General features: G+C 60.9%; 1 protein-coding gene across 11 annotated transcripts in view, besides 3 other annotated features; it reads left to right on the top strand.

Annotated features, from left to right (window-relative positions):
• The window catches only part of PIP5K1C (phosphatidylinositol-4-phosphate 5-kinase type 1 gamma), a 70,286-nt gene extending 47,620 nt beyond the window's left edge, over nt 1–22,666 (top strand). For 2 of the 11 annotated variants that reach the window (NM_001300849.2, XM_047438536.1), the window contains exons 8-17: nt 818–1,023; nt 4,141–4,224; nt 5,463–5,511; nt 6,791–6,875; nt 8,598–8,762; nt 9,468–9,606; nt 9,910–9,942; nt 11,040–11,144; nt 13,833–13,965; nt 15,236–16,248. In NM_001300849.2, the coding sequence (NP_001287778.1) occupies nt 818–1,023; nt 4,141–4,224; nt 5,463–5,511; nt 6,791–6,875; nt 8,598–8,762; nt 9,468–9,606; nt 9,910–9,942; nt 11,040–11,144; nt 13,833–13,965; nt 15,236–15,439 (1,203 nt within the window). In that variant the 3' untranslated portion in view covers nt 15,440–16,248. Of the gene's footprint in view, nt 1–817; nt 1,024–1,098; nt 2,854–4,140; nt 4,225–5,462; nt 5,512–6,790; nt 6,876–8,597; nt 8,763–9,467; nt 9,607–9,909; nt 9,943–11,039; nt 11,145–13,832; nt 13,966–14,842; nt 16,746–19,068; nt 19,154–19,328; nt 19,413–19,679 lie in introns of those variants that run through there. The other 9 variants (XM_011527848.2, NM_012398.3, XM_011527849.2 and 6 more) reach the window with 9 other exon arrangements.
• Nucleotides 7,987–8,187: a silencer, noted in NCBI's record as "peak3250 fragment used in MPRA reporter construct". NCBI's record gives its function as "represses an SCP1 promoter by STARR-seq MPRAs in K562 erythroleukemia cells {active_cell/tissue: K562}" and the evidence as "EXISTENCE:reporter gene assay evidence [ECO:0000049][PMID:32103011]".
• Nucleotides 8,201–8,738: an enhancer, noted in NCBI's record as "H3K4me1 hESC enhancer chr19:3644109-3644646 (GRCh37/hg19 assembly coordinates)". NCBI's record gives its function as "activates a minimal SCP1, AML or CMV promoter by ChIP-STARR-seq in naive H9 embryonic stem cells {active_cell/tissue: H9 hESC(naive)}" and the evidence as "EXISTENCE:reporter gene assay evidence [ECO:0000049][PMID:30033119]".
• Nucleotides 8,739–9,278: an enhancer, noted in NCBI's record as "H3K4me1 hESC enhancer chr19:3643569-3644108 (GRCh37/hg19 assembly coordinates)". NCBI's record gives its function as "activates a minimal SCP1, AML or CMV promoter by ChIP-STARR-seq in naive H9 embryonic stem cells {active_cell/tissue: H9 hESC(naive)}" and the evidence as "EXISTENCE:reporter gene assay evidence [ECO:0000049][PMID:30033119]".

The raw sequence follows: 25,366 nt of genomic DNA, 5'->3' as shown, positions 1-25,366 counted from the left end.
TTCAGATGCTGTGGTCACAAGCCCAGAGCTCCCAGCCAGCCATGAGAGCTTGCTGTGCCTCAGTTTCCTCACCCATCAAATGGGATGACTGCTTGCTCTGCAGGCCACAGTGAGGGCCCATGTGCGTCCAGTGAGGGTCTGGCTCCTGTCCCCGTGGAGCCTGCGTTGGCTCCGTGTTAGCGAAAGAATGATATGCACGGCTCTTCCTCTGCCTGGGTTAGCTCCGTCGTCCCCGTCCCACCCCGGCAGCTTCGAGGCATGGAGCCAAGGAGGGGAGGCCCCAGCCTGTCAGGAGCAGAGCCTGGGACCTCCCAGCTCCCCAACTCCACCCAGGCCCCGCTGCTGACCATCCCCAGCTCCCCGACCCCTTTGAGAACTTGACCCATACCCCCAGAAAACCGCCCAGACCACTCAGGGGCCTTGAGGCTACCCTGGGCATCCACCCACCTGGGTGTCACCTGTCAGGCCGGGCACGTCCTTGCCCATGGGCCTGGGCTGGTCAGAGCATAGGCCCGGCTCCCTGTCTCTCAGGAAGGAGTAAAGCCAGGAAGGGAAGTCCCTGTCTCAGTGCCCGGGGCAGCCTGCTGTGAGGCTGGAAGCCCCCATTCTCTGGCCTGCTCTGATGCCGCTGTGTGACCGCAGCCCCTCTGTTCCTCAGGATAACACTAGAACCCCCACTCCTGCCTGGCCGTGGGACTCCATCTCTCACACCCGAGCCCACGGGGCCATCCGTGCTGGGAACCCCATAGGGTCCGGGAGCCGTTGTGGGGGATAGAGACGGCTGACGGCGTGGCGTGTTCCTGCCCGATCCCGCCAGGTCCTGGAAAGTTTCAAGATCATGGACTACAGCCTGCTGCTGGGCGTGCACAACATCGACCAGCACGAGCGCGAGCGGCAGGCGCAGGGCGCCCAGAGCACCTCAGATGAGAAGCGGCCTGTGGGCCAGAAGGCGCTCTACTCCACGGCCATGGAGTCCATCCAGGGTGGCGCCGCGCGCGGGGAGGCCATCGAATCGGATGACACGTAGGTGGGCGGGGGGCCGCCGGACCCGTCCCGCTTCCCTTCCCCACAGGCTCCAGTTCCCCATCCCCGTCCCAAGTGTGAAAACAGGCAGGGAGGGCTGGCGAGGGCATGCGTGGGTGACAGACAGAGTCTGGGAGCCTTGTGCCAGCGCCTCAGAGCGAAGCCAGGCCGTAGTGCGGGCCGCAGGCTGAGTGCAGGGTTCCGGGCCTTGGCTTGCAATGGTGGGGGCGTTTCCCATTCACCCGTGACTGGGCCGAGGCCACTGGCCATCCACAGGAATGAGAGAGAGATAGCGTTTCCCGGTGGCACTCAGAGGGGTCTACACGCCACCCGTGCAGAGAGGGGCCACAAAGGTGTGGAAGGCGCATGGGAGGCCAGAGGGATCGGGCGAGGCAGGGCTCACAGCAGGACACAGCCCACGAAGCAGAGGGACTGCAAAATCCGATTCCACACAGATCAAAGCAGCTGCTGGCTGGGCGCAGTGTCTCATGCCTGTACTCCCAGCACCTTGGGAGACCAAGGTGGGAGGATTGCCTCAGCCCCGGAGTTCAGTACCAGCCTGGGCAACATGGCAAGACCCCATCTCTACAAAAAATATAAAATGTAGCTGGACGTGGTGGCACGTGCACCTGTAGTCCCAACTACTTGGGAGGCTGAAGGCGTGGCAGGCGTGAGCGTGGCAGGCGGAGGTTGCAGTGAGCCAAGATCACACCACTGCACTCCAGCTTGGGCAACAGAGTGAGACCCTGTCTTAAAAAAAAAAAAAAAAACGCTGGGCGCGGTGGCTCACACCTGTAATCCCAGCACTTTGGGAGGCTGAGGCAGGTGGATCATCTGAGGTCAGGAGTTCCAGACCAGCCTGGCCAACATGGTGAAACCCCATCTCTGCTTAATACAAAATATTAGCTGGGCGTGGTGGTGCACGCCTGTAATCCCAGCTACTTGGGAGGCTGAGGCAGGAGAATCGCTTGAACCCAGGAGGTGGAGGTTGCAGTGAGCTGAGATTGAGCTATTGCACTCCAGCCTGGGCAACAAGAGCTAAACTCTGTCCAAAAAGAAAAAAAAAGTGGCTGCCACAGAAGATAGGAACGGTGGTGGAGAGAGGAGGCCACATCTCAGTGGCCTGCAGTCATGTCTGCTGGACACCAGGGGCAGAGGGACCAGGCAGGCCCTGCCCTCACAGGGCTCAGGGTTTGGCTGGGGAGATACTCACAGAGCTCTCCTGGGACACTGGATGTGAGGGCTGGGTCATTCTCTGGGGTGGGGCTGTCCTGGGCACTGCAGGGTGCTGAGCAGCGTCCCGGGCCTCCACCCACTCCGGGCCAGGAGCACCCCCCAGTTGTGACAACCACAGATGTCCCCAGACATGGCCCCGGATGCGGGATAGACAGGTGTCGTATAGCAGTGCTGAGATTGTGCCCTGGTCACAGCAGCACCCTGACAGTGGGGGCAGGCCCGAGCCTTCACTTTGGTACCTGTTCAGTCTTCACAGCGGCCTTGGAGGAGGGAGGTGGGCTTCCCCTGTTTCCAGCTGAGGAAATAGGCTCCTAGGTTGGGGGGCAGCCTTCCCCAGTGCAGCCACGAAGGTGTGGAGCCAAGTTCCACCTGGCCTGGCCCCAGGGACGGTGCTGGCTGGCACTGGCTGGCACTAGGCCACCAGCTGGGCTTTGGTTTGCAGCGGTGGTGGTATTTCCCATGGATGGCAGAGGAGGAGCCGGGGCCCCAACCAGGGTGTAGCTGCGGGGGGGTGCGGGAGCCAAGGCCAGGCACAGCTCCCCCTCAGACCATCCTGGCGTTTGTAGGGTCTTCGCTGGCCTGGCGGGGGAGCAGGTGAGCGTACCAGCCTGTGGCGTGAGCAGAGCGTGCAGGGCGCCAGCCCAGCGGGTCTGGGTCCCAGTGGCTTCAGGATGACTGCTGCACGTGTGGCCTCACTAACCGCGCTGGGCAGGGGACGTGTGGGCACGGTGCCGGGTGACAGTTAACTCCCGCGCTGGGCAGGGGACGTGTGGGCACGGTGCCGGGTGACAGTTAACTCCCGCGCTGGGCAGGGGACGTGTGGGCACGGTGCCGGGTGACAGTTAACTCCCGCGCTGGGCAGGGGACGTGTGGGCACGGTGCCGGGTGACAGTTAACTCCCGCGCTGGGCAGGGGACGTGTGGGCACGGTGCCGGGTGACAGTTAACTCCCGCGCTGGGCAGGGGACGTGTGGGCACGGTGCCGGGTGACAGTTAACTCCCGCGCTGGGCAGGGGACGTGTGGGCACGGTGCCGGGTGACAGTTAACTCCCGCGCTGGGCAGGGGACGTGTGGGCATGGTGCCGGGTGACAGTTAACTCCCGCGCTGGGCAGGGGACGTGTGGGCACGGTGCCGGGTGACAGTTAACTCCCGCGCTGGGCAGGGGACGTGTGGGCACGGTGCCGGGTGACAGTTAACTCCCGCGCTGGGCAGGGGACGTGTGGGCACGGTGCCGGGTGACAGTTAACTCCCGCGCTGGGCAGGGGACGTGTGGGCACGGTGCCGGGTGACAGTTAACTCCCGCGCTGGGCAGGGGACGTGTGGGCATGGTGCCGGGTGACAGTTAACTCCCGCGCTGGGCAGGGGACGTGTGGGCATGGTGCCGGGTGACAGTTAACTCCCGCGCTGGGCAGGGGACGTGTGGGCATGGTGCCGGGTGACAGTTAACTCCCGCGCTGGGCAGGGGACGTGTGGGCATGGTGCCGGGTGACAGTTAACTCCCGCGCTGGGCAGGGGACGTGTGGGCATGGTGCCGGGTGACAATTAACTCCCCAGTCTGTACCTGAGACCCCGTGGCCCTACCTGGGCATGCAGTGTGCGTGTGTGTGCATGTGTGTGTCCAGGCACACGTGTGTGTAGGGGGTATGTGCCCAGGCCTCCTAGCTGGGACTCCTCAGCAGTGCCTGGGCCTGGGTTTGAGGCTGGGGGTGATGGAGGGATGTCAGGACAGAGGTTCCCGGGTGCCAGGCCCCACTCCGAGAGCTTGGCCAAGTTGCCACCCACAGGAGCAGATGGACTCCCTAGCCCTGGAGTCCCCAGCCCCGCCTGCCCCGAGTCCCAGCTCTGCGGGATGCTGATGGTACCCTCGGCCTCTCTCCCCAGGATGGGCGGGATCCCCGCTGTGAACGGCCGCGGGGAGCGGCTGCTGCTGCACATTGGCATCATCGACATCCTGCAGTCCTACAGGTGGGTGCCCGGGTCTGCAGTCCTACAGGTGGACGCCCCGGGTCTGCAGTCCCACAGGTGGGCGCCCGGGTCTGCAGCCCCACAGGTGGGCGCCCGGGTCTGCAGCCCCACAGGTGGGCGCCTGGGTCTGCAGTCCCACAGGTGGATGGGCGCCCCCAGGACACCCATGCACAGAGGCGCTTGCCCGTGGAAACAGCCGCACCAGCAGCTCTCGGGGCTTCCTCAACCTGGAAAGCTCTTGCTTGGCTGCCCCTTCTTGAGCCCTAAAGGGAAGGTGTTTGGTCGCCTTGAAAATCTAGAGTGAGTTGGGCGTAGTGGTCCACACCTGTAATCTAGCACTGTGGGAGGCCGAGGCGGGAGGATTGCTTGAGCCCAGGAGTTTGAGACCAGCCTGGGCAACATAGCAAGACCCCATCTCTACAAAATATCAAAAAATTAGCTGAGCGTGGTGGTGCTCCTGCAGTCCCAGCTACTTGGGAGGCCGAGGCAGGAGGATTCCTTGGGCCCAGGAGTCTGGGGCTGCAGCAGTGAGCTATGATGGCCGTACTGCACCCCAGGCTGGGTGACAGAGCAAGACCCTGTCCCAAAAAAAAAGAAAAAAGAAAATCCAAGGAGTGGGTTTGAGGCCTCACTTTGGGGCTCGAATATTTGTTTTTTGGTTTTTCATTTGTTTGTTTTAAGACAAAGTCTCGCTCTGTCACTCAGGCCGAAGAGCATTGGTGCGATCTTGGCTCACTGCAACCTCTGCCTTCTGAGTCGACCCTATTCTCCTGCCCCAGCCTCCCCAGTAGCTGGGATTACTGGCACGCGCCAGCACGCCCGGCTAATTTTTGTATTTTTAGTAGAGATGGGGTTTCACCATGTTGGCCAGGCTGGTCTTGAACTCCTGATCTCAGGTGATCTGCCTGCCTTGGCCTCCCAAAGTGCTGGGATTACAGGTGTGAGCCACCGTGCTCAGCTGGGGCTCTAGAATGTTTAAAAACAGTCACCCCCTCGGTACTATGGACATTGGGACCAGATGGTTCTCTGGGGTGGGGCCGTCCTGGGCCCTGCAGGGTACTGAGCAGAGAGCCTCCACCCACTCCCTGCCAGGAGCACCTGCCACCCTGAGTTTTGACAGCCACGACTGCTTGAGGCCATGGCCCAGTGTCCTGGGGGGTGCACAGTGGCCCCTGAGTGAGGTGGCCTGGCATGGGCTTGGCTGATGTCAGCTGCCACTCCGGGTGCTCTCTCCACAGGTTCATCAAGAAACTGGAGCACACCTGGAAGGCCCTCGTCCACGATGGGGTGAGCGCCTGCACCCTCCTCCCATTCCTCCTCCCATCCCTCCTCCTCCTGTGAGTGCCTGCACCCTCCTCCCATCCCTCCTCCCTCTGTGAGTGCCTGCACCCTCCTCCCATCCCTCCTCCCATCCCTCCTCCTCCTGTGAGTGCCTGCACCCTCCTCCCATCCCTCCTCTGTGAGTGCCTGCACCCTCCTCCCATCCCTCCTCTGTGAGTGCCTGCACCCTCCCCCCATCCCTCCTCCCTCTGTGAGCGCCTGCACCCTCCTCCCATCCCTCCTCCCTCTGTGAGCACCTGCACCCCTCCTCCCATCCCTCCTCCCTCTGTGAGCGCCTGCACCCTCCTCCCATCCTTCCTCCCTGTGAGCGCCTGCACCCCTCCTCCCATCCCTCCTCCCTCTGTGAGTGCCTGCACCCCTCCTCCCATCCTTCCTCCCTCTGTCCTCCTGTCTGTCGTCCCAGCCTTCCTCCCATCCGTCACTCCACAAACGCAGAGTACCGCCTGGGGCCAGGCACTGAGGACTAACGTCTGTGTGACCACAGCCTGTAGAATCCAAGATCCCAACAGGCACCCCCATTTTTCAAAAGAGCGTGTAGAAGGTCCAGGCAGGAGCTTCCAGAATAAGCCTTGAGCGGGTCAGGATGGCAGCTGGCAGAGGCCTCTGGGGATGTCTTAAACCTTGCCAAGGCCCGGAACCTGCTGCCCAGGGCAGATAGGAGCGCTGTCTCGGCTCTGACGAGGCTGGCCAGGGTGTCCTGTGCTGCCGCCGCATGTCCCTGGGGTTGTCCTTGTCCCCTGGCCCAGAGTGGCCGGGCACCACCTCCCACTGCAGCCTGCGGGGGTGGAGTCGTTCACAGTCCTGGTACGTGGCCACTCCTCACCCAAGGAGGCTGGGAAAGGAGGTTGCATTCTGGGAGGCCGAGATCACATCCCAGCAGGGCCCCAGCCAGGCCATCCTGCCTCAGCCTCCCCTACAAGTCCACGTGGGCCACTGTGCCTGGCCGGAATACTTTATTCAGCTGGTTTAAAAAGTCAAAAATGCTAACAGGTCTCTAGTGGAAAAGCCTCCACCCATTCCCTGGCACCCAGTCTCCCTCCCCAGAGGGAGCCACTGTTCCCTGTTCCGTGAGCCCCTCCCAGGAAGCCATGGCGCCATGGACCCATCTCGAGCCTTTTCACACAGAAGGTGCCCCCCACACACATACAGCGTCTGTCTGGGGCTGTCCCCAGCTGTTGATTGATGCACCCTCTGCCCCCGGGCACCCCCCCCAACTCTCTTCCAGGACACGGTGTCCGTCCACCGCCCCAGCTTCTATGCCGAGCGCTTTTTCAAGTTCATGAGCAACACGGTCTTTCGGAAGAACTCCTGTAAGCCACCTGAGCCCCGCAAGGCGGGAGGGACCCTGGGGAAGGCCCAGAGCGCCGTGGGGCAGGAGGGACTCTGCGGGAGGCCGAGAGCCCCCTGGGCAGGGCAGTAAACTCAGAGCCCCTGTGCCCCCCTCAGACCGGGCCTCATCCGGAGGTAGGGTAGTCGGGATATTTGCTCTGCACAGCGGTAGAGCACGGGTCTGGAGCCACCGCCAGAGCCTGAATCCTAGCCTGGCCTCGTCCTGCCCATGTGGCCTTGAGCAGGCACCTGCCTCTGTGCCTTGGTTTCCCCATTGGCACAGCACTGTGAGGGTACAGTGTTTATATATGGGATGGGTGGGCCTGACTCAGCAGATAGCTCACAGTGTGTGGGGCTGCCCACAGCATCACCATCGCCAAGGAAACGCACCCCGGGCAGGGGAACGCAGGAGGCTAGCCCAGCAGGGCATGGTCGGGAAGGTCCCAGGGCAAACAGTGGTGGGGAAGGTGGGGACTCGGGATTCACCCACAGGGTGCCCGGGGGAGGTCCCCATCTCTCAGGGCTCAGCTTCCCCTCATGGGCCACTGTAGCATCTGGACGCAGACTCTGGGTTCCAGGCCCCTGTGCAGACCTCAGCCCGTGGCCAACCTGCTGCCAGATGGATTCCCCCCTGGGGTCTGTTTCTCAGCCACCCTCCCCACCAGAAGGCTCCCGGGCTCCCCAGCATCCTGCACAGGCCTGGCCCACAGAGATGCTTGGGAAGTGTCTGGTGGGGGGCATGAATGATCTGCGGGTCCGCACCCACGGGGGTTGCAGGGAGGTGGCAGGGACAGGCACGCCAGTGCCCAGCGCTTGCAGGCAGGCTGCTCTTCCCGGCCTGCACACTTGCTCACGGCCTCGAGGTCAGGGACCCCCTCTCATCAACACCGTGGGAATTGGCAGACACCACGTGTCAGGATCTGTCTCCAGAGAGCCAGCCGTTGAGCCTGTCCCCACACCCCACTCTCTGGGACCGATGCCACAGGATCATTCCGTCATCCAGGGCTGTTTGCCAGCCTTTGGTGATTGTAGGAAGCTGCACAAGGCAAACTGAGCACCTACTGTTTACCAGGAGCTGTGTGGGTCATTCTGGGGGCAGAGGTCACAAGAGCTTGGTGAGGAGGCAGAGCTCACACAGCACTGAGGACAGGCCTGGCCCTGTGCGGGACATCACCTGCCCCACCTCACCCCACCGCTAAGGTCGGCCCCCAGGGCCCAGAGAGACCGAGCCGCACAGCCAGCGGGTGAGCCTGGATCTGCGCTCAGGCCCTACATGCTGAGCCACAGGCTTCTCTAACCACAACACCTGGTGCTCCCCAAGGCTGTCAGTGTCCATCTGAAAGTGGGGGCCCTGCCCGGGCTGGGCCGCACATAGAAGGGGTTGAAGCCTGCAGGCATCCCTGGCCAGCTCATTAGATGGGAGTCACTGGTCTGCAGGATCCCAGGAGGGGCAGGCACTGTGCCAGGTCCCAGTGTGTCTCATAGAGACAGTCGGGTGGGCAGGACAGGGAACTCGGGCTCGCAGTCCCTCCCCAGGCAGACCCCGGTTTTCCACCAAGAGGTTGTGGTGCTTCCTGGCCTCAGGGACCGGTAGGGGTCTGGTGGGCCACAGGGACGTGGGGTATATGTGGGCGGCGGCCCTGTCTGGGCTTTGCTATGAGCCCCCAGCAACCCCAAGCACCAACCCCCACCCTTCCCTGCAGCCCTGAAGTCCTCGCCCTCCAAGAAGGGGCGCGGCGGAGCCTTGCTAGCTGTGAAACCGCTGGGGCCCACCGCTGCCTTCTCGGCCAGCCAGATCCCTAGCGAGCGGGAGGAGGCCCAGTACGACCTGCGGGGGGCCCGCAGCTACCCCACGCTGGAGGACGAAGGTGAGGGGCAGAGGGCAGAGTGCGCTTGTGGGCGCTACAGGGGGTGCCAGCAGCAGCCCCGTGGGTGGGGTGCCGCCTCATCCTGAGTGCCCATCGCTCAGCCACCCCCTCCGGATCTGCAGGGCCGCCTGCCCAGGGAGTGGGGGCTGCTGGGACCGCCCCAGGGAAGAGCCCAGGGGGAGCTGAGTATAGAAGGCTCCACCAGGTGGGGTGGTGACAGCTCCCGCCTTCTCTCACGGCCACTGTCATCTGAGGTGCACCAGGATGCCATCGAAGGCATGCAGCCCCCAGGCTAGGGAATGAAGGAAGGGACATAGCCATGCAAGGGCCCTGGGGCAGGACCACACCTGCTGAGGGAACAGCAAGGAGCCCGTGTGGCCAAGCAGCGCGGAGGGGAAGGGAGGGGGGGTGGGGAGGGGAAGAGAGCAGTGGAGGGGAAGACAGCGGGGAGGGAGAGTGGAGAGGGGACGGGGCCAGGCTGCACAGGGCCCTCTGGGCTGTCTGGATTCTATTTTGAGAGCGGTCAGAAGCCTTTGTGTGAGGGGGAACGTCGTCCTTCCCTGCCGTGTGGGGAGGTGGGAGTGTCTGGGAGGCGGGCGGGCACTGGGCTGTGGGTTCCCAGGGTGAGCCAAGCCTCAGGGAGAATCGACTGTGTGTTTGGGGGCTCGGAGGCTCCGCAAGGTGCCCACAGTCCTCTCCCCTCAGGCCGGCCCGACCTCCTGCCCTGCACGCCACCTTCTTTCGAAGAAGCCACTACAGCCTCCATTGCCACGACTCTGTCATCCACATCCCTCTCCATTCCTGAGCGGTCCCCCTCGGAGACGTCGGAGCAGCCGCGGTACAGGTGGGCGAGGCATCCGCAGTGCATGTGGGCGGGGCATCCGCTGTGCGTGGGGGCGGGGCATTCACTGCATGTGGGCGGGGCATCCGCTGTGCATGTGGGTGGAGCATCGTATGTACGGTGGATGTACATACACTGCATGTGGGTGCGCGGGGGCGGAGCATCCAATGTGTGGGAGGGAGGAGCATATGTACAGGTGGGCAGGGCTGCCAGGGGGCAGGTAGGCAGGCGGGTAGGCAAGGCAGGTAGACTGAGCAGGCGGGCCACTCTCTTTCTGGGTGTCACGTGTTTGCTGTATCTCTGCAGGCGGCGCACACAGTCGTCTGGACAGGATGGCAGGTGAGACCCAACCCCCTTCCTTCCCTGGGTCTCACCAGCTCCTCCTGCACAGCTCCCAGCTCCGTTTCCCGCCCCCCAGCCCCTCTGCTCTCTGCCCATTCTCTCCTGGGGACAGATTTAAGATTGTAGCACTCGGCCCTAGCACCGCACACAATCTTCCAGCCACTTTGTTTTTCTTACAGCCAGAGCCAGGGCAGCTCTGGTCTGTGGATCCTTCCTTATTTCTTCTTCTATTAAGTTTTTTTTTTAACTTAAAACAAGATACAAGAGGGAATATCGTGAAATGCGCCCCCTCCTGCCCACGGCCTGTCCCCTCCCCAGGAGCAACCACTGGGACTGTGGGTTTTGTCTCTTGGAAGATACTTTCTGGGAACACAGCAGACGTGCACCAGGCTTGTGGTTCCCTTTTATTTTGACACAAATGGGCACACCCGTGCACGCCGCCCACACCTTGCTGTTGTCACTCGACTGACGGGGATCTCAGGGGTGGGTGCGCGCCGTTCCTGTCACGCCTGCGTGCCGTCCTTCCATCCCATGGACTGCACCTGGCTTTAAGTGCCCAGCCCTCGGGGACATTTGCGAGGTCCCTGGGGTCTCACTCTTGTGAACACTGGGGCAGTGGCGCGGTGTTGCTTTTCTTAACCGTGTTTTAATCGCTGCCGCCTGGTGAAAGAAACCCCTTGGTGCCCTGGGTGGGATGTGACCCTCCCTGCAGTCTAGCGTGCCATTTGGAGAGACATGTTACATGGCCAGGCCCGGCGGCCGGGACACTGAGTCACTTGTGTCAGGGCCTCGGCTGCCAGGTGCAGGCACTGCCTGGAGGGTGGGCAGGGTCTGTGGCACCCACACCGGTCGGGGCTGCCATTTGCTCATATGCCCCCAGAGCCCGCTACACCCCAGGCCCTGCTGGCACCACAGTCACCAAGGGACCCAGGTGGACAGTCCCCGGGCTGGGAGTGACAGCCAGAAAGAACAGACCCAATCAGGAGGCTCCCAACTCCCCTCTGGGACTGGCCCTGGAGTTCACTGGGCACTCCTGGGGGTAGGATGGGGGAAGTGAGGAGGGAAACCGAGGCACAACCTCCCATTGCCTGCAGGCCGCAGGAGGAGCCACCCGCGGAAGAGGATCTGCAGCAGATTACAGTGCAGGTGGAGCCTGCGTGCAGCGTGGAGATTGTGGTCCCCAAAGAGGAGGACGCAGGGTGAGCACGGCCTCGGCGGGAGGTCGGGGCGCCCACCTGCTGCGGGCCCAGAGGAGCCAAGAGCACCCCGAGGTTTCATCATGAAGCAGTTCTTTCTTACTAGGTTGTATTCACAGATGGTGGATTTTCCCATAAGTTTATTTTTTGATTGAAGGGAGTGGTTCTCGACTAGCCGGGGTGATCCTAGCCCCCAGGGGACACTGGGCGATGCCTGGGGACATTTGTGACTGTTAGAACTGGGGGGTGCTCCTGGCATGGAGTGGGTGGAGGCCAGGGACGCTGCTCAGCATCAGCCTGCAGTGCCCGGGATGGCCCCACCCCAGAGAAGGACCTGGTTCCAGTGTCCACAGGGCCCAGGCAAGAGACCCTGGGCTAAGGGTTGTGTAAGAGCATCTCTGAACTTCCAAGTATTTAACTAATTTTTTTTTAACCTTTTTAGTATTTATTAATTTAATTTTATTTTATTTTTAATTTTTTAAATTTTTTTTGTGAGACAGGATATTGCTCTCTTGCCCAGGCTGGAGAGCAGTGGCTCAATCTTGGCTCACTGCAGCCTCCGTCTCCCAGGTTCAAGTGATTCTCCTGCCTCAGCCTCCTGAGTAGCTGGGACTACAGGCACCCACCACCACGCATGGCTAATTTTTGTGTGTGTTTTCAGTAAAGACAGGGTTTCTCCCATCAGCCAGCTGGGCAGGCTTGGTCTCAAACTCCTGACCTTGGCCAGGCACGGTGGCTCATGCCTGTAATCCCAGCACTTTGGGAGGCTGAGGCAGGCGGATCACGAGGTCAGGAGATCGAGACCATCCTGGCTAACATGGTGAAACCCCATCTCTACTAAAAAATAGCAAAAATTAGCCGGGCGTGGTGGTGGACACCTGTCGGCCCAGCTACTTAGGAGGCTGAGGCAGGAGAATGGCGTGAACCCGGGAGGCAGAGTTTGCAGTGAGCTGAGATCGCACCACTGCACTCCATCCTAAGCGACAGAGCAAGACTCCACCTAAAAAAAAAAAAACTGACCTCGAGTGATCTGCCCACCTTGGCCTCCCAAAGTACTGGGATTAATTTTATTGATTTTTGTATTGAAGAAAAAGGCTTAAAAGAAATATCTGTTTTTTTAAAAAACACAGGACACAATAGTTCTGGCCCTTTTGGGGATATGGTGTCAGCTGCTGTTATTATTATTTTCTTTGAGACAGAATCTCGCTCTGTTGCCCAGGCTGGAGTGCAGTGGCACGATTTCGGCTCACTGCAACCTCCACCTCCTGGGTTCAAGTGATTCTCTTGCCTCAGCCTCCCGAGTAGCTGGGATTACAGGCATGCACCACCACGCCCGGCTAATTTTTTTGTATTTTTAGTAGAGATGGGGTTTCACCATGTTGACCAGGCTGGTCTCGAACTCCTGACCTCAGGTGATCCTCCCGCCTCGGCCTCCCACAGTGCTAGGATGACAGGCGTGAGCCCCGTGGCGGCCCCTGTATGTTTTTACTTTTCTGTCATCTGTCTGGTGTGTATAATCCCATGCTTGCACTGTTACCAAATTCTTCTTGCCTTTGTAATGATTTTTGCCTGAGATGCTTTTGTATTTTTGTTCCAAGAGAGCTTTTTTAGCGCTCACAGCAGCGTAGACCCAAAACTAAAGCCCTGGGGGTTTATCTTCCACCCAGTGCTCCTGCCACTGTCAACTCTTTGCCATTGCCAAACCTTGCACCGTGAAATTTCAGGTTTTGCTGAAAGGAACTGTACCTCCGACATGGCAGGAGGGCATGTTTAGCCTCATTCCTGGGATGAACACGATGCACCGTGTGGCCATAGCCAAGGCCAAGGCCGTTCCTCACCTCCTCTCCGTGCCTCCGTTTCCGCAAATGCAACACAGGGGCAGTAGCCGCACCCTCTCCATCCCCCATGATAGACTCAGTGGGTTAATCACGGGAGCCAGCCCTGGCATGTAGTAAGTGCTCAGTGAAAAGAACAAAGAGGCTGGGCTCGGAGGCTTCCGTCTGTGATCCCTCCTAAAGGAGGCTGAGGCAGGAGGATCGCTTGACCCCATGAGTTGGAGACCAGCCTGGGCAACATAGTGAGACCCCATCTCTAAAAAAAAAAAAAAAATTAGTTGGGTGTAGCAGTGCACACCTATAGTCTCAGCTACTTGGGAGGCCAAGGTTGGAGGATCGCTTGAGCCCGGGCGGTGGAGGCTGTAGTGAGCCGTGATGACAGCACTGCACGCCAGCCTGGCTGATGGAGCCAGGGCCTGTCTGAAAAAACAAATCAATGAAAGAAGGAAGAAGCTCTGATCCCAGCGGCTAGGTGCCATCTCTCCCCACTTGACAGATGAGGAAACTGAGGCTCAGAGGAGGAACAGGCCCTCCCAGGGTGGCACAGCCGGTGAGGGTGAGGCCAGCACGTGCCCACAGGTGTGTGTGTCTGAGCTGGGAGTGGCAGGGCCGAGCTGTCAGCGGGCTGGCGGGTCACTCCAGGTCACTCCTGGGGCCAGCATGAGGGGCTTCTTGGGGAGGTTTGTTCTGATTTGCGATAAATGGCAGCGCAGGAGCGCGCGGCCTGTGGTCAGCTGCCTGGCTTTTCATCTCCGTGATGACCGTATGAAGCCCCTGCCTGGGTCCTGAGTGGGGGCGCGGGGAGTCTCCGTGTGGGGCCTGAGGGTCAAGACCCTCTGTCTACTCCTGTCCCCAGGGTGGAGGCTTCCCCGGCCGGTGCCTCTGCTGCTGTTGAAGTAGAAACTGCCAGCCAGGCCTCAGACGAGGAGGGCGCACCTGCCAGCCAGGCCTCGGACGAGGAGGACGCGCCCGCCACCGACATCTACTTTGTAAGTGCCCCGGGCTCCTCCTGCCGCCGGCTCGTCAACCGGACTCTCTCTCACACACGCTCCACCGTGTGCACACCGCATACACACACCTGCACACAGGCACGTGAGTGTGCCCTGTCGACCCACCCACATGCTCTCTCACCAGCCAGCACTCTCACGACACGCCCACACGCACCCACCAGCCACGTTCACACCCACCTTCTCTTCCTGGTCTAACCCCATGGGGTGGGAAGCTCCTCCAAACCAGGCCTTTCTGAGGCCCCAGAGCCACCCCTGTCCCCTTCCCCGGCCTTGTGCCCACGGCACCTTCTGTGCCACCCGTCTCCCTGGAAGTCGTCCGGAGTCCTCAGACTCTTGGCCCCTCGGGAGGCCCTGGCACAGGCTGAGGTCCTGTGTCCTTGACAGCCTAGACGTCCAGACAGGGCTGTGGCGGCAGGACCTTCTCCCTGTTGCCGTGGGCGTGGCCAGGTGGGCTTATCCTTGAGGAGGGCCGGGGGACCGGGCAGTGGCAGGAGGGCTTCACGCTCCCACGCCGTGGGCTGGGGACTCGTGGCTGCTACTGGGCAGGGCAGGGTCTGCCCGGCCCTGGGGACCTGGGATCCCTGCTCTCCCTTGCCAGGGTCTGGGTGAGGTGGCTGCCGGGCGGCCAGCGAGGCCTGGAATGTCCAGGCAGCGTCTCCACTCCCCAGTGGTCCCACTCAGATCAGGCAGCCCCAGGTCACAGGGAGGGCCGGAGGCTGCAGCCCACTTCCCAGATGGTTTGTTCTCACCCTGCACCCCCTGGGAAGGAGGGCTGGGCACGGGCACCAGGCCTTAGGGCCTGTTGTGGGGGCACCTCCTCGCTGCTTCATAACTAACTCCCCTGCTCTGTCTCCAGTGGCGCCTCTGGGGTCCCCATGCACCCACCTGGCCCTGGAGAAGGGAGGGACGGGCCGCGTGCCTGTGCCCCTACCCACCGCACGTCGTCACCCCTTTTCCTGGGACTGGTTTGTGCGCGTCCTGGTCTCCGGATGGTACGGGGGGCCTGGGGGCCATGTCGTGCTGTGTGTCTGTGTCCTGATGCCCTGCCAGGTGGGCAGCAGAGAAGGGAGAAGGGTCCTCGGTCCTGCCCCTGCCCCGGCACCCCCCACCTTCTGCTTGGCAGTCAGCTGTCCCCACCTGCTCCCCGCCACCTCCCTCCGCCTCTCCCACCCGACCACGGGGGTGGCCGCCTCATCCGCTGTCCTCTGTTTTCCTTCCTCCTCCGGCCCACCCGGCCCGCCCCGTCCAGTTCACGGATGGGAGGTACTGGATTTACTCTCCCCGCCATCGCCGACTGCGGGCCGTGACGCTGAGCGCCTCGGGGACTGTAAGTGACCGCAGCCGGCCACCCTGGGGAGAAGGGGCAGTGCCCCTCGGGCAGCAGGGAGCCGCAGGTCCCCGGCCGGAAGCTCAGTGTCTGACGTCAGTTGTTTTCCAGAAGGGCTTTGGGTAAATCACGGCTGCAATTGAGGTCAGCCACGCTGGCCCCGGACCAGGCGCTGGGCTGCATGCGTCACTGGGAATGTCATTCGGTCCCACGTCGAACCGGGCGCTCCATAGGGCAGCACCATCACCAGGTGCACAGCTGAGGCCCAGGGTCTGCTTCGGACCCCGGCCAGACCCCAGCGAGCCCCTCTCTGCCCCTGGACCCAGCCCTCTCGTGTCAGGGTGTCTTGGGTGGACGCTTCTCACTCGTGCAGACCTGGCTGCCCGTGGCCCCGCTGGCTGCACAGGGGAGGTTGCACAGGTCAGCAGAGTGGCTGCAGGGCCGGGCTCTGAACCGCAGGGCCATGGAGACGGGGAGGAGATGGTCTCTCCACACCCACCTCACAGATGGAGGCGCTGAGGCCTCGGCTCCCCTGGGAGCCTGGGAGACCACACGGTTTAGTCAAAATCCAGATCCCCAAGCTCTCAAGGAGGTCCCCCTGGGACGCCACATGGGCCCCACGTAGCTGTGAGATCCTCAGGGCCTGCTGTTGTCATTATGACCAATAAGCAAGGGGCCCAGAGAGCCTAAGAGACCTGCCCAGCACCGCACAGCCAGAACGGGGCGCAGACCCAAAGCAGGAGTGTCCCCTCGAGACAAAGCCTCCGCCGAGGCCGCCGTGACTCCCCGCCCATCAGCAAACCTCTCCGAGCACCTCTGTGTGCCAGGCACTGTGGAGTGACCCCAAGAGGTGGAGACCACTTCCCCGGCTGCTCTAGGCAGCTCCGTCCCACGGAGCCAGCGGGAAGCCAGCCACCGCGAAGCCGTGCCCCGGAGATCGTCCAGGAGCTGCCCAGAGGGGCCTGCTGGGAGGAGGAGCACTGGAGAGACCCAGCGGCCCTGCTGGCCACCCCACCATAGGCAGGGAGCAGTTCGCAGAGGCCGCCTACGGAGGGGGGTGCTTGGACTTTGAAAAACACCTGACTTGAAGGGGCAGACGTGGGGAGGGTGGTCTCGGCAGCAGGCACAGCAGAAGCGGAAGTGTGGGGGCCAGAAGGGAGGCAGGGCAGCCATTGAAAGCACCCCAAGGCCTGAGTGCTGAAGAGGCTGTGCCCTTGGTTCTGGTCTTCCTGGGGTCACCCGGTTCTGGGTCCCAGCTGCTACTGCCCCCCACTTCCCCTGTCTGCCCAGCTGCTGGCTGAGGGTGTCCCTCTCTGTCCCCCCAACTCCTGCAGGACAAGGAAGCCACCTGTCCTGCCCTTTCTTTTTTTTCATTTTTTGAGACGGAGTCTTGCTCTGTCGCCCAGGCTGGAGTGCAATGGCATGATCTCAGCTCACTGCAACCTCCACCCCCCAGGTACAAGCAATTATCCTGCCTCAGCCTCCTGAGTAGCTGAGATTACAGGCGCCTGCCACCATGCCTGGCTAATTTTGAGTTTTTTGTTTGTTTGTTTTTTGAGACAGAGTCTCGTTCTGTCGCCCAGGCTGGAGTGCAGTGGCACAATCTCGGCTCGCTGCAAGTTCCGCCTCCCGGGTTCACGCCATTCTCCTGCCTCAGCCTCCCGAGTAGCTGGGACTACAGGCGCCCGCCATCATGCCTGGCTAATTTTTTTGTATTTTTAGTAGAGACGAGGTTTCACCGTGTTCACCAGGATGGTCTCAATCTCCTGACCTCGTGATCTGCCCGCCTCAGCCTCCCAAAGTGCTGGGATTACAGGCGTAAGCCACCGCGCCCAGCCTTGTTTGTTTTTTTTGAGATGGAGTCTCACTCTGTCACCCAGGCTGGAATGCAGTGGCTCAATTTCAGCTCACTGCAACCTCTGGCCTGGGTTCAAGCGATTCTTCTGCCTCAGCCTCCCGAGTTGCTGGGATTACAGGCTCCTGCCACCATGCCCCAATAATTTTTTGTATTTTTAGTAAGAGATGGGGTTTTACCATGTTGGCCAGGCTGGTCTCGAACTCCTGACCTCAGGTATCTGCCCACCTCGGCCTCCCAAAGTTCTGGGATTACAGGCGTGAGCCACCACGCCCGGCCTTAATCTTTGTATTTTTAGTAGAGATAGGGTTTCGCCATATTGGCCAGGCTGGTCTTGAACTCCTGACCTCAAGTGATCCACCTGCCTTGGCCTCCCAAAGTGCTGGGATGACAGGCGTGAGCTCCTGCACCTGGCCTGTATCCCCGTTTCTAATGCTGTAGCAGAAGGATACTGTCATCCCTGCCCACGTGCTGTGTGTGCCCGGGATGCCCCTCCCAGAGAGCGGCTCTGAGGTGGCTGCTGCCACCCTCCTCCCTGCGGGCCAGTTCTTTCAGGGCTCAGGTGGGGACCCTGTTTTGGCCCCACATTTTCAAGTCCCCATGGGATCCATCAGTGCAGCCACCAAATCAGTACTGAGCACCCACATAGGCTCCCCATGCCGGGCTCTCAAGGGACGTTGGGTGGACCTGACCTGCCATTCCCACGTCAGGGATTCCAGGCTGCATTTGCTACCCTGGAGGAACAGGCAAGGCCTGCGCTGGGGTCCTGGCCCCTCAGTGCAGGAGTCAGTCCTCCGCGATGCGGCCTCGCAGGGCAGGAGTGCGCTGCCCTCGGTGCCCAGGGCCCGGGAACAGGGGTCTTGTGGAAGCTGTAGGATCGGGCAGGGTGGAGTGAGCACAGAGGTGGGCCCTTTAGAGGGAGCATGGAGGCAGAGCCCGAGGCAGGGAGAGGCAGTGCTCCTGCAGGTGAGGTCTGGGCTCACCTGGAGCACAAGGGAGGCCCCTGCTGGCCCAGGCTGGGCAACTGGGAGCTGGCAGAGGCATGGGTTGGCCTGGGCAGCAGGTGGGCAGCGTCATCCTGACTGGAAGGACGAGCAGTGGGTCTTGGGGTGATGGACTGGGTTGTGACTGTGGCGAGTTTAGGGGCCGAGGGCCGCCAGGTGGACGTGGCCAGGCAGGTGTGTATTCAGGCCTGGCACTTCAGGCCGAGGCCAGGCCTGGTGGAAATTCGCAGGTCATCTGTGCCGGGAGGGGCGTTGAAGGCTGGGTTGGTGACAGAGGCCCGAGAGAGAGGAGGACACAACAAGGAAGACAGGGCGGCCAGGCTGGAGCCCTGAGAAAGCAGAGCAGCCTAGGGGCAGGAGAAGCAGGGGGAGCTTGAGGGGGTGGGGGCTCCTCAGGAGGCGGGACGGAGGTGTTGGAGGAACGCACCCTCCCTCCCTCCCCAGATCCCACCCAGACCTGGGACCCCTCACGCAGGCACAGCTGGGAAGAGCTGTCCGTGTCCCTGCACACGGCCCTGCCTGTGCCTAGCCCTGAACTTGGCCCTCACTCTGCCCTGCTGCTCAGGAAGGCGTCTCCTGGCTCTTGCAGGGTGGGTGGTCCGAGCCTCAGTCTCTCCTAGCACGTCTGTGCTGGCAGAGGGGACTGGCCCTGCCCGCAGGCAGCCATATATTCAGGTCCCAAAAGGCTTCTGGGTTGGGAAGTAGGTCCGGCACCCCGACCTCCCAGGACCCCCATAGAGAGCTTCCAGGAGCCTGTGCGCTGGTGCCCGTGGCACAGGCAGGATTGGGGGCTGTGGTGGGGCCGGGCTGTGGAGGAGGAGGAGGAGGAGGAACACTCGGTGCTCCAGGTCGCGACCCCCACCCGCTTCCGCCGGCTCTGTCACCTGCTATCTCAGGCCCTGCCTCGACTGAACTAACTGCTTTCTGCCGCCCGCCGTGCCCCGCCCCGCCAAGCTGAGCTGAGGCCCCAGGCCCGTCCAGGTTGGGAGCAAGTCCACCGGGTCAGAGAGGGCAGCTGGGCTGAGCCACCCCTCGTCTTCCATGGGGGATTCGCCTCTTTTATGTTCTCCTGTCTCTTCCTTCCTCCCTCTGCCTCTCTTGCACCTCCTCGCACCCTGCTCTTCCGCGCCCTCCTGCACGCGCGCCCACCTGCCAGCCCACCGATGAGAGGAGCTGGGTGTACTCCCCGCTCCACTATAGCGCCCAGGCCCCCCCGGCCTCCGACGGCGAGAGCGACACAGTAAGTGCAGCCCAGGTGCACCCGCCGGTCCCGTGGGCTCCAAGGTTCTACTGAGCGTGGTCCCCAGCTACTGGGATAGGCAGGGACTGAGGCCCGGGGCGGGAGGGCACAGGTGGCCCAGAGCTCCACCCTGGGCTCTCTGGCTCTGAGGTGGCCGTGGGCTAAGTGTCTCAGGGCCTGTGTTGGCCCAAGGAAGCCAGTCCCTGGCAGGGGGCCTGGGGTGGGCCCTCGCCCCGCCCACCTTCACCTGTCCTCTTGCTCTTGCAGTAATTTCTATGCAGCCCCCGACCCAGAGCCGAGCTCCACTTCTGCTCCGGCTGCCCCCGAAGGCGCTGCCCACCCCGCTGAGGCCCAGAGCTCGGGAGATGCCCGCCTCGCCGCCCCACCGGACCTCGTCCTCCCCCTGCACGGATGCCGACGGCCGGGCCCCTCCCCGACAAGCCTCCCAGGGCCCCGGCACCCCGGTCGGCAGCCTGCCCCTGTGAGACCCACCCTCCCGAGCGGCCAATCGCATTTGAGTCCTTATTTGGCACAGAGACGGAAGCACGTGTGTGCCGTTTTAGGAAAAGAACAAAAAAGACACAAACAAACCAACCAGAGGGAGAAGAGCCCCTGCCCACTGCACTCTTTGGTTCTCTGCTGTGCCTGCCTGTGTCCTGAGGAAGAAGCCAGGCTGTTCGCGGTGGCCTCTGGGGACCTGAGCCCCGGGGGCCCCATCGGCCTGCAGAGGGGACGGCTGGGGTCCCGAGCAACTCTGCCTCCATCCACGTGGGAAGCGGACCCTCCTGCCCTCAGCTTGGGTTTGGGGGCCTCAGTGCAGGACATCTGGCCTGAACATCGACTGTGGGGACAGCCCTCGCCCTGCCAAGCACTGCGGCCACTCAGCAGCTATGTTCCCGCCGCAGTGGGGCCCTGACGCCCACCTCCCAGGTGCCCCTCGAGCAAAAACCTCTGGCGCCTCCAATCCAGACCCACCACAGCTGGAGGGCCAGGCCTCCTCTTCCCCAGGCTGCCACCCACGCTGGCGGAGCTCAGGGCTGGGGACTTGTCCTTCTCTTCCAACGTAGGCCACTCAGCAACTGGCATGGAGGGCCCAGGCAACGGAGACGTTTTCTCCATGGCAGGACAGAGCGGGAGGCCGGGCCTTGGGCCACAGGAGACCAGCTCAGGGCGGAAGGTCAGGCTCCCCGCCCCCTCCACGTGGAGACATGGCCTAGGGGGCCAGGCCCGGCTCCACAGGAGTCTCCTTCAGGACTGGTGTGGATGTCCGCCGCCTCTTTCTTGTTTAAGTGATGTGATGTCTCCGAGGAGGGGAGAGAAGACTTTGTTTCCGACTCATCACCCTCCAAGAGGGCAGCGCTCCCAGTGGTGGGACTCAGCCCAGACTGCCCTGGGGCAGCTTCCTGGGCCCGCTGCGCTCAGAGGGTGCTGGTTGGAGGCCAGAGCTCGGCAGAGTCACCCACCCTGCCCTTCCCCAGGACCCCTGAGAGGGGCTTATTGGTGATGGCTGTGGGAATCCCCCACTTCCAAGATGTGCCCAGGATGTGAGGAGCTGGAGTGGAAGCTGCACCTTTGGGAAGAATTCCTCTCCAGACCTGGCAGAGCCTGGTGTGGGGTCTGAGACGGCCGGAGAACCTCCCAGGCAGGGCTCTGTGTTTTGTCTGTTACAACCTCCGTATGACGCCACGCCACCCGCTGTTCACGTCCCGTCGGCCTCCTGCACAGCCCACACGCTGCGCCCGGAAGGCCCCTGCTGTGGAGAAGCCGGACCCATCCCCGAGGTCCCCAGCGAGGACACACACTCCACGAGAGCAGCCCCTCCACTCTGCCCAGGAGAGGGGCCGACCCTCCTCGGGAACCGGCCAGCCGCGTGGCTCCCAGCATCCATCAGGACAAGCCCACGTGGGGTCCTCCCTGCGTGCTCAGAGGGTCTGTCCAGCCCTGGGAAGCGACCTTGGCCTCAGTTCACAGCCTGGTGCTCATCTGCTGGCACCGGGCATCCACCCATCAGCCCCCGCCCTGTCCCTCCGAAGGACACCCAGCAGGCACCCCCCGGGGAGGCAGGGGCAGAGGTCAGAAGGGGTGTCTGGGACCTGGATGGCCAGCAGGGACAGGGGCATTGTCATCTCAAAGGCCCAACCCCCAGAGGCCACACCAGTCCTCCCAGGGAGTCCTCGAGTCGCCCTGCCCAGAGCCCTGGCACCAGAGACGCCAAGAGCCTGTGGGGTGACTCGGAGCAGCAGGTGTGGCCCCGGGCGGGCGGCACCGCGTCCAGGGCAGCCTCCCTCCGCTGAGTGACACGGGACACCAGTGCCCGGCCGACGCGCCTTTGCAGGAGAAATGTGCAAACCTCTGTGGATACCATTTCATTTCCATTCTTGTGTTGTCTCCAAGGCCCTTTTGGAGATATACTTGGTGTTGGTTGTGTTTTTTGGTTCCTTTTCAGAGAACTGTAAACCGAGGCTGACGTGCTCCACTGACTGTGCCGAGGGGCGGGGGCAGGAGGACGGCAAGACCTATTTATAATATTTAGCGAACTCGGTCTCCCTCAGATCCCCCGCGAGGGAGGCTGCTGGACCCACCCCGCTGTCCCCCATGATAGAAGTCTGTAAATACCTTGGTGACCAATGCCCACTTCCCCTCCTGGGTCACCTCTGATGGCTGCTGTCCACTGAGAACGTGGGCAGTGTCCAAATTCCTGTACTGTAAAGACTAAAAGGCGTTTGCTCTGAGACTGACAAGGCGGAAACTTCCATGTGTCTCCTGCCAGGCTCTGTCCCCCTACGCCATCCCGACACGTCCCCGTTCCCCCGAAACCTGGCTCAGTGCAATACTCCCATTGCCATGGGGTCCTTCACCATGGTACTGTCTCCACAGCCCTCAGTCCCCACCCCAGGAGAGGCGCCTGCCACCTCCTCCTCATCTCCGGTGGTTCAATCGCTCCGCCTGTCCCCAACCCAGTCCCATTTTTATGGCCAAACTGATTCTGAAACAAAATGAAACTGCAAACCTCGTGTGTCTTAACTCCCCCCAGGGATGCCACTCCATTCCTCCGCCCCGTGGTCTGGTGCGTGACAATCCAAAGCGCCGAGACGAGGGTGCTGTGTCCCTCAAACCCAGAGTGGTGGGCGCCTCTGAAACCATACAGCCACTCCTGGCCCCAAACACTGGTTTGCATCCCAGGTTCCTCGCCCACCTACCCCCGCCACACCCCGTCTTTTTAGAGATCTCTCTAATAAATCGGGTAATAAGCATCCGCCTGTTTGCCTTTCTGTGGGTTCCGGAGGTCTGGTTGGGAGTCTGAGGAGTGACTTTGTTCTGTGTTTTTTGTTTTCTGTTTTTGTTTGTTTGTTTGTTTTCTTTTTAAGAGATGGAGTCTCGCTCTCCACCCAGGCTGGAGTGCAGTGGCGCAATCTCAGCTCACTGCAAGCTCCGTCTCCTGGGTTCACACCATTCTCCTGCCTCAGCCTCCTGAGTAGCTGGGACTACAGGCGCCCGCCACCACGCCCAGCTAATTTTTTATTTTTAGTAGAGGCAGGGTTTCACCATGTTAGCCAGGATGGTCTCGATCTCCTGACCTCGTGATCCGCCCACCTCGGCCTCCCAAAGTGCTGGGATTACAGGTGTGAGCCACCGCACCCAGCCTGTGTTTTGTTTTTTTTTTTTTTGAGATGGAGTCTCGTTCTGTTGCCCAGGCTGGAGCGCAGTGGAGTGATCTCAGCTCACTGCAACCTCTGCCTCCCGGGTTCAAGCCATTCTCCTGCCTCAGCCTCCCGAGTAGCTGGGACCACAGGCGCCCGCCACCACACCTGGCTAATTTTTTTGTATTTTTAGTAGAGACGGGGTTTCACCACATTGGCCAGGCTGGTCTCAAACTCCTGACCTCAAAGGACCCACCCGCCTCATCCCAAAGTGCTGAGATTACAGGCGTAAGCCACCGTGCCTGGCCTGAGGACTGACTTTGAATCTTAGAGAAGAGAGAAACCTTTGTGAGATTGATGCTGATACCAGTAATAGGACCCAAACACCTTACCAGCTGTGAACCTTCTTCAGGTCCCAGTTCAGCTCAGAAAACATTTTATTGTTTCCAACATCTTTGCAGCCCCCCAAAGTTTGTATTTGTTCTGCTAGAGCGGTTCCAATTCAGTCACGTTTGGACCCCTTGAAGGGAACACATTTATCTTGGACTCCCAGGTTGAGAAACTACATTGAAAACAAGATCCTGGCCAGGCGTGATGGCTCACACCTGTAATCCCAGCTACTCGGGAGGCTGAGGCCAGAGAATTGCTCCAACCTGGGAGGCAGAGTTTGCAGTGAGCTGAGATCATGCCCCTGCACTCCAGCCTGGGCGACAGAGCAAGAAAATGTCTCAAAAAAAAAAAAAAAAAAAAAGTAAGATCCTGTCTGTAAGGGAGCCGTTGGAACGTTTCAGCACAGCTGTTTTATAAACTGAACATGGAGGTGATCTCGTTGTTTTAAGTTTGTTTTTTGTTTTTTTGTTTTTTTTTTTTGAGATGGAGTCTCGCTCTGTCACCCAGGCTGGAATGCAATGGTACGATCTCAGCTCACTGCAACCTCCGCCTCCCAGGTTCAAGCAATTCTTCCTCGGCCTCCTGAGTAGCTGGGACTACAGGTGCCTGGCACTACACCCGGCTAAATTTTGTATTTTTAGTAGAGGTGGGGTTTCACCATGTTGACAAGGCTGGTCTCGAACTCCTGAACTCAGGTGATCCACCCACCTTGGCCTCTCAAAGTGCTGGGATTACAGGACTGAGCCACCGCGCCCGGCCCATGCAAGTGATCTCTTAATGTGCTGCAAGGATGCATCTGAATTTTGGGAAGCACAGGGTCAGGCCTTCGCTTTGTTTTGGGCCATCCCATCAGCATGACAACCCACATCTCAGGACCGGCAAGGTCATCATCTAGAGCGGCAGGAGATGGTCTCTTCTTCCTCTGTAAGGTTCCATCCTTGCCTTAACACCAAGCAAAGCATACAAAGCCAGCGTTTACGGGGATGTTATGAAGTTGTATTCCAAGATAAACGTTTTATTTATTTATTTATTTATTTATTTATTTATTTGAGACGGGGACTTGCTCTGTCGCCCAGGTTGGAGTGCAATGATGCGATCTCAACTCACAGGAACCTCTGCCTCCTGGGTTCAAGCGATTCTTCTGCCTCAGCCTCCCGAGTAGCTGGAATTACAAGCATGCCACCATGCCCAGCTAATTTTTGTATTTTTAGTAGAGACGGGGTTTCGCCATGTTGGACAGGCTGGTCTCGAACTCCTGACCTCAAGATCCACCTGCCACGGCCTCCCAAAGTGTTGGGATTACAGGCATGAGCCACTGCACCCCACTCAAGATAAACATTTTAATTTTCTTTTTTTTTTTGAGACGGAGTCTTGCTCTATCGCCGAGGCCATAGCGCAGTGGCACGATCTCGGCTCACTGCGACCTCCGCCTCCCAGGTTCAAGCAATTCTCCCTGCCTCAACCTCCCAAGTAGCTGGGATCACAGGTGCATGCCACCACACCCGGCTAATTTTTGTATTATTTAGTAGAGATAGGGTTTCACCATATTGGCCAGGCTGGTCTTGAACTCCCGACCTCAGGTGATCCGCCCGCCTCGGCCTCTCAAAGTGCTGGGGTTACAGGCGTGAGCCACCGTGCCCGGCCAAGATAAATATTTTAAAAGTTAGCTTAAATTACTATCATCCTCCATAAACAGGCCTTCCCAGCCCCGAGTGGTTAGAACTGCACGGGGTGGTGGTAGCAGCCACCATGGGCTAGGGGAGCTCAGGATGGGACATCAGCGTCTTCTAGGTCTCTGGCCTCCAGCCTTGCCCCTGAAGTCCGTCCTCCCACGCCAAACTTGTTTCAACAGCAAGTCCCCCAAACCCTGCTCACAACCCTCCCACGGGTCCCCAGCACCCACACCACAAAGCTGGGCAGCCT

Source organism: Homo sapiens, chromosome 19 (assembly GCF_000001405.40).
Source record: "Homo sapiens chromosome 19, GRCh38.p14 Primary Assembly".
Classification (NCBI taxonomy): domain Eukaryota; kingdom Metazoa; phylum Chordata; class Mammalia; order Primates; family Hominidae; genus Homo; species Homo sapiens.
This window is presented reverse-complemented; position numbering and strand designations above follow the sequence as displayed.